At 38.6% G+C, this 14,388-nt stretch overlaps 1 protein-coding gene across 3 annotated transcripts in view; it reads left to right on the top strand.

Annotated features, from left to right (window-relative positions):
* Positions 1-14,388, top strand: part of MTMR3 (myotubularin related protein 3) — a 147,695-nt gene that overhangs the window by 71,644 nt on the left and 61,663 nt on the right. For all 3 annotated transcript variants that reach the window (NM_021090.4, NM_153050.3, NM_153051.3), the window contains exon 2: positions 2,219-2,271. The gene's annotated coding sequence lies outside the window, so the exon portion shown is untranslated. The remainder of the gene's footprint in view (positions 1-2,218; positions 2,272-14,388) is intronic.

A 14,388-nucleotide genomic window follows, 5' to 3' on the forward strand; every position in this document is an offset into this window, starting at 1 on the left:
CTACTTGGGAGGTCACTGTTAAAGCCAGCATATCATAGCTCGATAACTTCATTGGGATCTACCCTTCATTTCTTAATGATAATATCCTTTTTCTAGTTACCATAAGCCTTAAAATTTTTCAGTTATTTTTAACAACTTGCTCTGCTTCCTTTTTTTCCATTATTTTGTTGGTTGTTGTTGTTCTTGTGACAATCTAGGGTCTTACTTTGTTGGCCAGGCTGGAGTGCAGTGGCACCATTGTGGCTCACTGCAGCCTTGACCTCCCGGGCCCAAGCCATCCTCCCATCTCAGCCTTCTGAGTAGCTAGGACCACAGGTGTGTACTGCTATGCCCAGCTTTTTAAATTTTTATAGAGATGAGGTCTTCCCATGTTGCCTGGACTGGTCTTGAGCTCCTGGCTCCAGTGATCCTCCTGCCTCAGCCTCCCAAAGTGTTGGGATTAGAGGTATGAGTCATTGCACCCGGCCAGACATAATTTTTAAAAAGCAATATAATGTCCTTGCTCTAATAAAAAGGAAAAATAAAAAGGAAAATAATTTGTAATAGTATATATTTCATGCAAATACTCAGGTAGAATTATACTCTTGCAGGAAAAGGTTCTACAGATTTACAAATCCCTCAACTTTCCTGCTGTACTATGTTGTATTTAATACTTAGTTAAGCAACTTAATAGCAAGACTGGTCTTCATACTAAATACTTAATAGCAAGACTGGTCTTCATACTAAATACAGTTCGTCTCTGAAGTTGCAAATTATGAGTAGCTGTTTTCATTGTCATATAGTGTGTGTGAATAATATGGCCTGAGTTATAAAACATAAAAGTTATTGGGGAGACAAAAATATTATGTTTAAAATGGTTAAGACACTTCATTGTTGCATATTTAGCTTTCCTTTATGGTTCTTAGTTAATAATGTACCATATTTTACTGACTTTTTTTTTCTTTTCTTTTTTGAGATGGAATCTCACACTGTCGCCAAGGCTGGAGCGCAGTGGCGCAATCTCAGCTCACTGCAACCTCCACCTCCCGGGTTTGAGTGATTCTTGTGCCTCAGCCTCCTGAGTAGCTGGGACTACAGGTGTGCCCCACCACACCCAGCTAATTTTTGTATTTTTAGTAGAGCTGGGGTTTCGCTGTGTTGGCCAGGCTGGTCTTGAACTCTTGACCTCAGGTGATCCACCCACCTTGGCCTCCCAAAGTGCTGGGATTACAGGCATGAGCCACCGCGCCTGGCCTTGACTTCTTAATTTCAGAGTTTTGATATTCTGAGCAATCTTGTTCATTTATGTGACTCCATGTCATTTAAACAGCTCAAATGGATGAGTCGTGTTTGCACAACTTTAGAGAAATTGTCACAAAGGAACAGGTCGGTTAGATGTTTTGTCTCTGTAAAGTTCAGATTGTTGCCTACTGGTGACAAGAATTCTTTGTTTTTGTTTTGTTTTTTTGAGACAGAGTCTCACTTTATTGCCCAGGCTGGAGTGCAGTGGCGTGATCTCGGCTCACTGAAACCTCCACGTCTCGTGTTCAAGTAATTGTCCTGCCTCAGCCTCCTGAATAGCTGGGATCACAGGCGCATGCCACCACACCCAGCTAATTTTTGTATTTTTAGTAGAGACGGGGTTTTGCCATGTTCACCAGGCTGGTCTCTAACTCCTGACCTCAAGTGATCCGCCTGCCTTGGCCTCCCAAAGTGCTGGGATTACAGGTGTGAGCTACCGTGCCTGGCTGAATTCTTTGTTTTTCTACCATATTCTCCTTACCCTTTTTCTTAAACAAAAGGTCAGATCCCTTGATAGAAGCCAATTATGTGTACAAAACACCTTAAAATAAGTCCAAGCCTGGAGTGTCTGTGATCTTTTTAGTTTTGTAAAGTACCTGTTCCTGTATTGGCAACGATTTACCCAAGAAGCCACCAGAAATGATGCTTGCTTGACTGAGAAAAACTTAAATAAGCCTCTCTGTGGGGTTTGAAAAGCTCTGTTCTCTACAGTTCTGCAATTTCTGAAGGCATGCTAAGGCTTGACTGGGTCTGTTCTGTGCAGTTATAAACATTCTAAAATCTGTGGTTGACTAAATACTCCATGTTGCACCAATTTAAAAATCTCATTGTCATAGCATTATGACTGGTAGAGAAAGGTCTTGTGGGGAGATCTAAGTGGCTTAACTTGATTCTTAGGATATTTGTCATTATAAAATAACTGTTTTTTCTTTTGCAGACTTCCTTGTGAAACCTCCTAGTAGAAAAAGTTCTTGGGACAAACTTCATTTGGTAAGTTTGTTTCTCCCCTCCTGCCACCCCCGCCCCCCTCCAATACTCTCTCTGTGCTGTTTCGAGGCAAGGAAAAATTAATTTACAGGTTGATTTTTGGGGATCTGTTTGTCAATGTCCATGATTATTTAGATGAGTTTTTCTATGTTCACTTTAATGTCCTTACATGTGATTATTTTTTTTTTTCACTAGGACTCATACCAGGTCACTTTTTCTATATATAATTGCACTGTAATAGTGTACTGGAAAACTTGTATTTAAGTTGAGATTTTGAGTTGCAGCACTAATCATTTGTCTAAAATAAATAGATTTATCAATCTCCAGTTGTATTTATTTATTTATTTATTTATTTATTTATTTATTTATTTATTGATATATTTTTTGAGACAGTCTTGCTGTGTTTCCCAGGCTGGAGTACAGTTAGGTGATTATAGCTCACTGCAGCCTTGAACCCCTGGGCTACAGCAATCCTCCTGCCTCCGCCTCCCAGTTGCTGGGACTACAGGTGTGTGCCATCAGGCCTGGCTAGTTTGGAAACTTTTTTTGTAGAGACAGGATCTCGTTCTGTTGCCCAGGCTGATATAGTTCTTTTAAATTCAAACTTGCTTCTTGTTTTGAGTTTTCTTAAATTGGTATATATCTATATGAAAAATAAGACCTCTTATTACTAGAGTTAGTTCAGCAGTTCCCCCTTACCTTCTTTTGCTTTCCAAGGTTCAGTTATCCAAGGTCCAAAAGTACTAAAATATCAAGAGAGCAAGAAAGAGAGACACTACACATTCATATGACTTTCATTATAGTGTATTGTTGCTTGTTCTATTTTGTTATTAGTTGTTGTTAATCTGTCACTGTTTCTAATTTATAAAGTAAACTTAATCATAGGTACATACGTAGAGGAAAAACTATATATATATATATGTATGTAGTTTTCAGTACTACCTGTAGTTTCAGGGATCCACAGGGGGTCTTGGAACATATTCCCCGAGGATAAGGCAGGGGATTACTGTAGTGCAAATATGAATTTTAATGAGAAAAACAAGTTCTGAAAAATTTGCGAGTTCTTTCTCCAGTGTGGCTACTAAACCTTGTCCTTTTTCAAAAAATGTCCTTTTCATAGACCTTTGTGTGTCTCTTACTAGGTAAATCTTTATTAGTGCCTCTTGTTTCTGCCACCTGTTTAGGGAACTGTAGTACAGTTTTATTAGAAGACAAGTTATTGCCTTGGTTTTAAGTTCCTAAATCCAGATCATTTCCTTGTTCAGGAACTGTTGCCTTGCTATTGCCTCTAGAACAAGGATCAAACTCCTTAGCATAACATTTCAGGTTCTTTACAGGTAGGCTTCAAACAGCTTGTCACCTGTTTTCTCTGTGTACCAAGTTCATCTCTTGTAGCCACACCGACCTACCTCCTGTCTCTCAAATACTCTCCAAGGTGCTTTTTTGTCTTACTCTGCCGCCATGCCATTCCTGCTCCCCTCTTGTCTCAGTGGCTCAAAATTTGGCTGGTTCAGTTATTAAAAGCTTGAGTCTTCCAGAAAGTCTTCCTTAAGTGCCCAGCTCAGAATCTCTTTCTCTGCTTTTTGCATTACCATGGAATTAAATTTCTGTATCTCTTAACATACTCTTGTCTTATTAGTTATATTTGTTGGTCACCCCCACAGGATTGGGAATGCCCTTGAAGGCAAGAACTATATTGATATTTGAATTGTCAGTTCACAGAAACACTCCTAGACTCCTGGGATACCAATGCCTTCTCAGTATAAATTCTTCTTGACTAGGGTTTTTGTTTTGGTAAGAATAGGGGAGGAGAATAGATTGGTTTTAGTAGAGATTGGTCAGCATAGTCTTGTTGATTTAGGTTACTGTTTTTTCCCCACTTTTCTGTATAGTGGAGGATCATAGGGTATATATAATCTGTGCCCTTGTAGTCCAAGTTGCTCCGTGTATTACTTGAGGTATTCTTTGCAAGTATAAGTTTTAGTTTTTGATAAGGAATTGAGTAATTTCTCTTTAACAGGTGCCTGAAAGATGAGATTCCATGTTCAGTAGGAAGATTAAATGTTGGTTTGCTTCTGTAAAGATTTCTGAGAAGTCATATCATGGGGTGGTACTGATGATGGAGCTGAGAGAAGCATGCAGGTTCCAGCTGTCAAATTCTCATATATTAAGGAAAGAAAGGTTATTTCACCTTCAGGCTTGGAATAGGAATCTTAATCTTCATTTAGCCAGGGGGGTGGGGGAGTGTTGCAGATTAGATCTGTAGTGAAGGAAATGTAATCCTTTTTATTTTATTTACGTATTTATTTTTGAGACAGAGTCTTGTTCTGTCACCCAGGCTGGAGTGTGGTGGCGCGACCTCAGCTCACTGCAGCCTCCACCTGCTGGGTTCAAGCAATTCTCCTGCCTCAGCTTCCTGAGTAGCTGGGATTACAGGCATGCTCCACCACTCCTGGCTAATTTTTGTGTTTTTAGTAGAGACGGGGTTTCACTATGTTGGCCAGGCTGGTCTCGAACTCCTGATTTCCAGTGATCCATCTGTCTCAGACTCCCAAAGTGCTGGGATTACAGATGTGTGCCACTGTGCTGGCCAGAAACGTAGTAACATATTACTTGGCTCTGTAGCATTTAATATTTGTATTGCCATAATAATGTAAATTTGTAAAAGTGTTAATTTTTTTTTTTTTTTTTTTGACACAAGGTCTCACTCTTGCCCATGTTGGAATGCAGTGGTGTGATCATGGGTCACTGCAGCCTCGATCTCCTGGGCTCAAGTGATCCTCCCACCTCAGCCTCCTGAGTAGGTGGGACTATGGGCATGTACCACCTTGCTAGGCTAATTTGTTTTTATTTTTATTTTTGTGGAGACTAGGGTCTCATTATGTTGCTCAGGGTGGTCTTGAACTCCTGGGCCCAAGTGATCCTCCTGCCTCAGCCTCTCATAGTGTTGGTCTTACAGGTGTGAGCCACTGCCCCTGGCCACGTTCTTATCTGAAGAAGCATGATCTAGGTTTGAAGAGAAAGATGTAAATGTATTTAATTTTGATGCCAGGAAACATACTGTTTAATTAATATGTGCCCCAGATTAAAGGAGACTAAAGAGATATAAAAATAGCTTCAATATATGATCCCAGACTAGATCCTTTACCAAAGGGGGGAATATTGCTGTGAAGGATAAAGGATATGATTGGATTCATTGACAAAATTGGAATAGATATGGTAGATTATTATATCAGTGTTAAATTTTCTGAAATTGAAACTAGAACTGTGGTTATATGAGAGATTATCTTTCTTAGGAAATACATACTGAAGTAGTAAGAATTAAAGAGATATTTGTATGCAAGCCTCTTTTAAATGGTTCAAAAAAAATGCACGTGCATATGCGCGAACAAAAAAGGAGACAGTGTTGGAAACTGTCCTATCCAAATTCTCTGTAATGAAACATTTAATGAAGTACAGTCTTTATATAACCATGTGTTGTCATATGTATGTACATGTACATACTAATTTAAAAAGTGCTTATTACATGCCAGTAACTATTCTAAGCATGTTATATGCATTATATCTTAATTCTCACAATTCTTTGATGCAATGATTGTTCTCCTTGTTTTCTCGATGAAGAAACTGAGGCTCAGAGAGGTAGTATGATTTGCTCTCAAGGTCATAGAGTTAGTATATGGCAGCCCTGAGGGCCATTGCTTTACATTCCTGATTGTTTTTTCTTGAGGCTATTATCTTAACACTCTGAGTTTAAATGAAAACCTTTCATTAAAACTTATTTTGAGTTTTCTGTTTAAAAGCTTTTTTTGTAGAAAAATTTGTTATCCTAATTGCAAATGTTTTAAAAGTTTAAAAACTGAAAGTTGCTGCTCCCACTCTCTTCCCTAGGAAGGTAGATTGTTAACCATTATATAGTTTTTTGTGTATGTATAAACATACTTTGGAATTAATACAGACAATGCTTAGGCATATTTTTATTTTAACTTTTAAAATTACAGAACATTGAAAACTTATGGCAAGTTGATAAATATGTGTTGTGTTTTTTTTAAATAGAAGAGTATGTAGTCTTTGGCAATAATAACCCCTCTGCAACCCTTCCCCCAAATTTATATGCTTTTACCTAGTATATTCATTTTTAAGAATAATTAGGGCTACAGAAATAGCGACTTGTGCATAGATATGGATAAGGGTGGTTGTTGCGGCTTTTTTGGTGGCAATGGAAAAATGGAAACAACCTAAATGTCTCACTAATTGATGGATGGTTAAGTTATGATACATTGGGGTATAATGGAATACTGAACTGCCATATGTATATACTGACATAGGAGGGATTTGTTATATTAATTAAAGAATATATACTGAAGAAACTACAGTATGGCTACCCCACCCCACCCATTTTGGGGGTAGATAATGTGTGTCTTTGTACACTCATGTGCCACATAATGATGTTTTGGTTAGCAACAGACCCAAGATACGATGGTAGCCTCATGAGATTAAAATGGAACTGAAAAATAACTATCACCTAGTGGAGTTGTAGTTGTCATAATGTCTTGGTACAATTACTTTTTAAAAATAAACTTAGTGTAGCCTAGTTGTATAGTGTTTATAAAGTCTGTAGAAGTGTACAGTAATGTCCTAGGCCTTCACACATTCACTCACTACTCACTGACATACCCAGAGCAACTTCCAGTCCTACAAGCACCATTCATGGTAAGTGTTGTCCTATACAAGTGTACCATTTTAATCTTTTGTATCATTTTTACTGTATCTTCTCTGTTTATGTATGTTTAGATATACAAATAGGGAGCACTGTGTTACAGTTACCTACAGTATTCAGTACAGTAACATGCTGTGCAGGTTTGTAGCCTAGGAACAACAGGCTATACCATATAGCCTAGGTGTGTAGTAGACTGTCCCATCTAGGTTTGTATAAATACCTCTGTGATGTTTGCACAACAGCTAAATCTGCTAATGATGCATTTCTCAAAACATGTCTCCATTGTTAAGCGAAGCTTGACTGTATGTGCATAGAGAACTGTCTGGATAGACTTATGAAATAGTTAACAGTTGCTATATTTACATGTAGATGAACTAAAGGGCAGTAAGGAGTGAAAAGCGAACTTCTGCTTACCAATTTTTTTTAAATAAGTTTAACTCAGATATATTAATAACATAAAATTCACATACTATACAATTCACCCATTTAAAGTGTACAGTTCAGTGGCTCAGTATATTCACGAAGTTGTGTAGCCATCACCACAGTCCATTTTAGGACCTTTTCCTCACCTCAGAAACTTCAGGCCAGGTGTGGTGGCTAATGACTGTAATCCCAGCAGTTTGGGAGGCCAAGGTGAGAGGATTGTTTGAGGTTGGGAATTTGAGACCAGCCTGGACAACATGGTGTGAGCCTCCCCTTTTCCCCCCACAAAAATAAAAATAGCCGGGTGTGGTGGCTTGCACCTGTGGTCCTGGCTACTCTGGAGGCTGAGGCAGGAAGATCGCTGGAGCCCAGGAGGTTGAGGCCGCCGTGAACCATGATCCTGTGATTACAGCACTGCAACTCCAGCCTGGGCAGCAGAGCAAGACCCTGTCTCCAAAACAAAACAGAACTTCATAGCTGTCAACCTCTCTTACCGTCGGTCTTTCCCAGCTCCTGGCACCCACTAATCTGCTTTCTAAGATTTTCCTGTTCTGGACATTTCATATAAATGATATCATAACAATATGTGGTCTTTTGTGACTCGCTTCATCATTTAGCATAATGTTTTTAAGGTTCATTCACGTTGAAGCATGTATCAGTACTTCATTCCTTTCTCTCTTTTTTCTTTTTTTTTTTTTTTTGAGACAGGGTCTCACTCTGTTGCCTAGGCTTCTGGTGTGCCGTGGCATGAAGATCTGGGCTCACTGAAACCTCGCCACTGCATCCTGGGCTCAAGTGATCCTCCCACTTTCAGCCTCCCGAGTAGCTGGGACTACAGGCACATGCCAGCACGTCCAGCTAGTTTTTGTATTTTTTATCTTTTTTTCTTTTATTATTATTTTATAGAGATGGTGTTTTGCCATGTTGCCCGGGCTGGTCCCGAACTCCTGGCCTTGAGTGATCCACCTCCCTGGACTTCCCAAAGTGCTGGGATTACAGGCATGAGCCACCATGCCTGGCTCAATTTTTGTGTTTTTTGTAGAGGTGGGGTTTCACCATATTGCCCAGGCTGGTCTCAAACACCTGGGTAAAAGCAGTGTGCTGACTACATCTTTTCAAAGTGTTGGGATTATAGGCATGAGCCACTGTGTCTGGCCACTTAATTCCTTTTTTTTTTTTTTTTTGAGATGAGTCTTGCTCTGTCACCAGGCTGGAGGGCAATGGTGCGATCTCGGCTCACTGCAACCTCTGTCTCTCGGGTTCAAGTGATTCTCCTGCGTCAGCCTCCCAAGTAGCTGGGACTATAGGCATGCACTGCCATGCCCAGCTAATTTTTGTACTTTTAGTAGAGATGGGGTTTCACCGTTGGCCGGGATGGTCTCGATCTCTTGACCTTGTGATCTGCCCTCTTCAGCCTCCCAAAATGCTGGGATTACAGGTGTGAGCCACTGTGCCCAGCCCACTTAATTCCTTTCTATGGCCAAATAATTTGCCATTGTTTAGATATGCCACATTCTGTTTATTCATCCATCTGTTGATGGACATTTGGTTTCAGTGAGCCTAGATCTTCACGCCACTGCACACCAGTAGCCTGGGTGAGAGTGAGACCCTGTAGTGGAAAAAAAAAAAAAGAGGAATGAAGTACTAATACGTGCTTCAAAATAGCCCATCCCACCTTTGGGCTACTTTGAATAAATCTGCTATAAACATGTATTTGCAAGATTTTACATGGACATGTTTTTGTTTTCTTGGATATATACCTAGGAGTAAGATTGTTGAGTCAAATGGTAACTCTGTGTTTAATTGAGCAACTGCCAGGCTATTTTTCAAAGAGGCTGCACTATTTTACATTCTCACTAGCAGAGTATGAGGTTACTTGTTTACTTTTTACATCTGTATCTTATTTACTGAGTGCATGCATTACTCGTATATCTAATTTTAAGAAGTATTACACTGCTTATCAGACTAACAGTAATGACTCAATTTCTTCCTTTTGTACTGTTGGTATAACTACCACTGTGGGGTTCACATTTTACAAGTCAGGTGCTGTAATGAACCCTGAATATTTCCTAAGGATTGGTCACATCTGCGATTTGTAGTGTTTTTTGTTTGTTTGTTTGTTTGTTATTTTACATAATACCCAGAGTGGTCTAATGCTCTTTCTAGTTTTAAAAGGAACCTTTAGCAAGTACTTGATTCTGATGGGTTGCACAGTTTCCTGTGATCTTGGCTTTTTCTTATGGATTTGGAATTCCTATAGCAGTTTTAACTTTTCTCAGATACTTAAAGCAGCACCTCTTACTTTGAACTATTTTAACTATTTCTTGTCTCCTCTGGACTGTAAGTTCTTTAATCTCCCTTTGCTGCCACATCTAGGCCTCTACCTAAACCTGTGAGTTACACACCAGGATATCTTTCACATACTTAGGCTTTTATCCGTACTGCCTCCATTCTAAATCAAGCCACTAGTCTCTTACTGTAATTGTCTCCTGGTTCTCTTCTTTATTCTTTTTCTCTTTTAATCCATTCACCCCACATCAACCAGGGTGATCTTAAAATCAAATCACGTCACTCTGCTATTTAAAACCTGTCAATGGCTCCCTGTTGTATTTGGACTGTATTTTAAACTTACTACTATTCACATGATCTTTTCCTTTACATTTCTCCAACTTCAAGTTGTGCCACTCTTCTTTCTGATTCGGTACAGTTTAGCTACAATGGTTTCCTCCTTTTAGTTCTTCAAAATTATCAAGGTCTTTCCTGTCTGAGGAACACATGCACTTCCGTATATTAGAAACTGGCCTTGCCCCACCAAGTAGTCTTTTCTGATCACTTTATCTAAAGTAGGTCTTCGGTACCCCCAAACCCCAGTCCCTGTCTCAGCATCCCGTTTGTTTCCTTTATCACATTTAGCACAATTTGTAATTATTACCATCTTTTTCTGTCTTCTGCGATGGTATATAAGTTGTATTAATGCAGAGCTAACAGTGTCATACTGTCTAACACATACTAGATTATTGGTAAATTTTGACTGACTGCAGTGCAGAAAGAACATCATTTTACAGAATCTATTTGGTATAGAAATGGAAGGCCTTATTTCTGGGTGAAGACTATGTTTAAATTGAGACTTTTAATGCCGAGTGGCAAATCTTTGTCTTGGTATTTCTGTACTCATTAAAAAATTAGAGTAGGCCAGGTGTGGTGGCTCACACACTTTGGGAGGCCAAGGCAGGCAGATCACTTGAGGCCAGAAATTTGAGACCAGCCTGATCAACATGGTGAAACCCTGTCTCTACTAAAAATACAAAAATTAGCCAGGCATGGTGGCATATGCCTGTAATCCCAGCTACTTGAGAGGCTGAGACACCAGAATCACTTGAATCCGGGAGGCAGAGGTTGCAGTGAGCTGAGATCGCACCACTGCACTCCAGCCTGAGCGATAGAGCGAGACTCTGTCTCAAAAACAAAACAAAACAAAACAAATTAGATTTGACTGGGAAGATAGCTTATGTATATATATATAATGTGACTGCAGATTGAGAGTTTATTTTGTAATTGGAATTTGATTTCTAGTTCAGTGTCACTACAGATGAGTACATTTTAGTTGGGACATCCGGGATGCTTGTGAGAGTTTTTTCAGATTTCTCTGAAAAAAATCTGAAAGACGTAACAGTGCATATTGATAGGCTTACTGTATAAACAGTGGTTTCATGAGAGATAAAACTTTGACTCTTTAAATTAATTCTTCAATAACTGGAGGTTTTGAGGTAGAATTGCCATTATGGTTAAAAAAACTTTATGTGAAAATTTCAAATATATAAAAGTAGAGAAAATAGTTTAATAAATCTCCATTAACTTATCTCACTGGTCTTCAAAAGTTACCAACTCATGACCCATCTTGTTTCAGAGGTACTCCTACTCATTCTGCCTACTCCTTGGTATATAACTTTATGTATTTTATAGTTAAAAGATAAATTCTTTTTAAAAACCCATCACCACACACAAAAACCTATAACCACAGTAACATTGTCAATTATATAGAAAATTAATAACTCCTTAATATCATCAGATATTTAGTATGTGGTCAGATTTCCCTAATAGATGTCTCAGCTTATACTTTGAATAAGAATCCAAATAAGATCTATATATTGCAGTTGGTTGACATGGTCACTTAAGTCTCTCTTAATTCTGTAGGTTTCCCTTCTATGTCGGTCTTTTGTCTTGCTATTTAAAGAATAGGGGTTATTTTCCTGTAGTTTTCCATAGACTAGATTATTATTTGCATCTTGTATTTCATTAGCAGTTGTAAAATAGTATTATCAAATTCTTTTCTTTGTATATTAGGTAGAATTCTTCCCTCATCAACTACTTCATTCTATACTAGTTCATTTTGTGTAAGAAAGGCGGGATAGATACTTGATTCTTTCCCCTTACTTGCTAGTTTTCAAAAATAAAAGGTTAGTTCCTTAACATCTTCCACTGGTGACCTGTAGGGGTGTGCGTGTGTGTGTGTGTGTGTGTGTGTGTGTGTGTGTGTGTGTGTGTGTCTGTCTCTGTGTGTGTGTGAGAGAGAGAATGTTTCTTTATGAACTCATATTTAAACATCCTGAAACCCAATCCATTGCATTTAACCATTTTGCTCAAATTATTTCATTTTTAGCTAGTGAGTCTCTTCAAATTGACTCCCAATTATTTCTGACTTACCCTCAGTAGTCTTTTATATGTTTCTTACATTCCAGTTTAATATGATGTTTCAGAATCAAATTGTACATTTTCTTTTCTAGACCTGGAATTGGTTATATTTTCTTTCAGGTGCCCCATCTTCTTTTGAAGTGGGAATTAGTCTTTAGGGACCACAGTCTAGGGGCTTAGAATGCTCATTGCTGCTGGGTTGATACTGTAACTTTTTTGCAGCGTTTATTTTTATCTTATGAAGAGTTTGATTATATTGTTACTCTTCACCTCTGTTGTGTGTGTGTGTGTGTGTGTGTGTGTGTGTGTGTGTGTGCATGCGCGCGCGCGCGCATGTTTTTTAGAGACAAGGTCTTGCTCTGTCACTCAGGCTGGAGTGCAGTAGCATAAGCTCACTGCAGCCTTGAACTCCTGAGCTCAAGGGATCCTTCCACATCAGCCTCCCAAGTGGCTAGGACTACAGGTGTGCACAACCACCTAATTTTTTTTTTTTTTCAGTAGAGACAGTCTTGCTATGTTGCCCAGGCTGGCGTTGAACTCTGGGGCTCAAGCTGTCTTCCTGTCCTGGCCTCCCAAATTGCTAGGATTATAAGAGTGAGCCACTGCACATGGCTTCTGTATTTTTTTTTTTTTGAGCTATAAGTCATATCACATAAAATCCACCCTTTTAAAGTATACAATTCAGTGGTTTTTAGTATAGTCATAAAGCTGTAGAACCATTACCATTACCTAATTCCAAACATTTCATCACCCTGCAAAGGTACCTTGTACCCATTAGCAGTCACTCCCTATTCTTCCCTCAACCTGGCTCCTGGCAACCACTAATCTACTTTCTGTCTCTGTGGATTTACCTTTTCTGGACATCTCATACAAATGGAATCACACAATATATGGCCTTTTGTGCCCCAGGTTCTCTCATTTAGCATAATGTTTTCATCTATGTGTGTCATGTATCAGTATTTTATTCCATTTTATTGCTGGATAACTCCATTATATATACTGTGTGTGTGTGTGTGTGTGTGTGTGTGTATTTTTTGTTTGTTTATCCATTCACATTTTGTTTGTCCATTCATTGATTGATGCATATTTGGGTTGTTTGCACTTTTGGCCATCATGAATAATGCTGTTACGAAAATTTGTGTAGAAGTTTTTATGTGGACATACCTTGTCAGTTCTCTTAGGTATATACCCAGGAGTGGAACTGATGGGACATATGATGACTCTAAACTTTTTTGGGAACTGCCACACTTTTCCTCAGAGGTTGTACCACTTTACATTCCTGCCGGCAGTGTATGGGGGTTTCACCTTCACATTCCATCTACATCTGACATTAGTATCTTCCTCACTGGAGTTATATTTTGTTATTTAATAGTTTTGCAAAATGCATTAAATTCACTTCCATTTAAATTGTTTAAGATACAGCAGTTTGAATGTGTCAATGATGCTATCTTTAGAAATTTTATTCTAAAACACAAATATCTTTTGTGTAATATTAGGACAGTTTTTTAAAAGTAATTCAGTATGTTTCTTTTTTGAAAAGGTTCTTTATAACAGTATCCCGTTCTTTTAATAAGTTCATACCCTCAAATTTTCTCTGCCTTTGCCCTTCTCCTTTTTAATTCCAATAAGTGCCTTTTTGCACATCTTTACCTTCCTATCTAAAGTAGCATTTCTGTTACACCATCACCAAACTCTGCTTAATTTTCTTTGCAGCAGTTGCCTACTGCTTAACATTAGTTATCTGTTTCTTTGTTTCTAATGAGAAAGACCAACAATAAAATCAAGTTCCATGAATTTCTGTTCACAGTGGTGTCCCCAAAGTCTACAACAGTGCATGGAGTGTAGAAAATATTGAATAAATATTTATTGAAAAGAATGAATAAATGAGATAATTTTACATTAGTTTCAGTTCTTGAGCTAGGCCAAATCACAAAAGTTTGGCTTGGTTTGAAGAGTGGTTAAGAATGATGACTCCAACTTGGTCTGTTACTGAACCATAAGGTTCTTCCTCATCCTTCCAGCCTCTAAAAAATGGTGCACCCAAAACCCCTGTCCTTAGTCATCTTAGCCTCTCCATTTATACTTGCTCCTGCATTTGGCTTTAATGCCATTCACACACTGATGTCTCCCACATTTATGTTTATATCTCTAGGCTCCATCTTCTTGATCTCTAGTCTGGTTTAACTAGCACTTTACTTGGCATCTTTGTTTGGATATGTGATAGGTTTTCAAACATAATGTGTCTAAAATGGAAACTTTAATTTCTTGTTCCTTGTCCGTTGAGCTGT

The sequence above is a fragment of the Homo sapiens genome, chromosome 22 (assembly GCF_000001405.40).
Source record: "Homo sapiens chromosome 22, GRCh38.p14 Primary Assembly".
Lineage (NCBI taxonomy): Eukaryota > Metazoa > Chordata > Mammalia > Primates > Hominidae > Homo > Homo sapiens.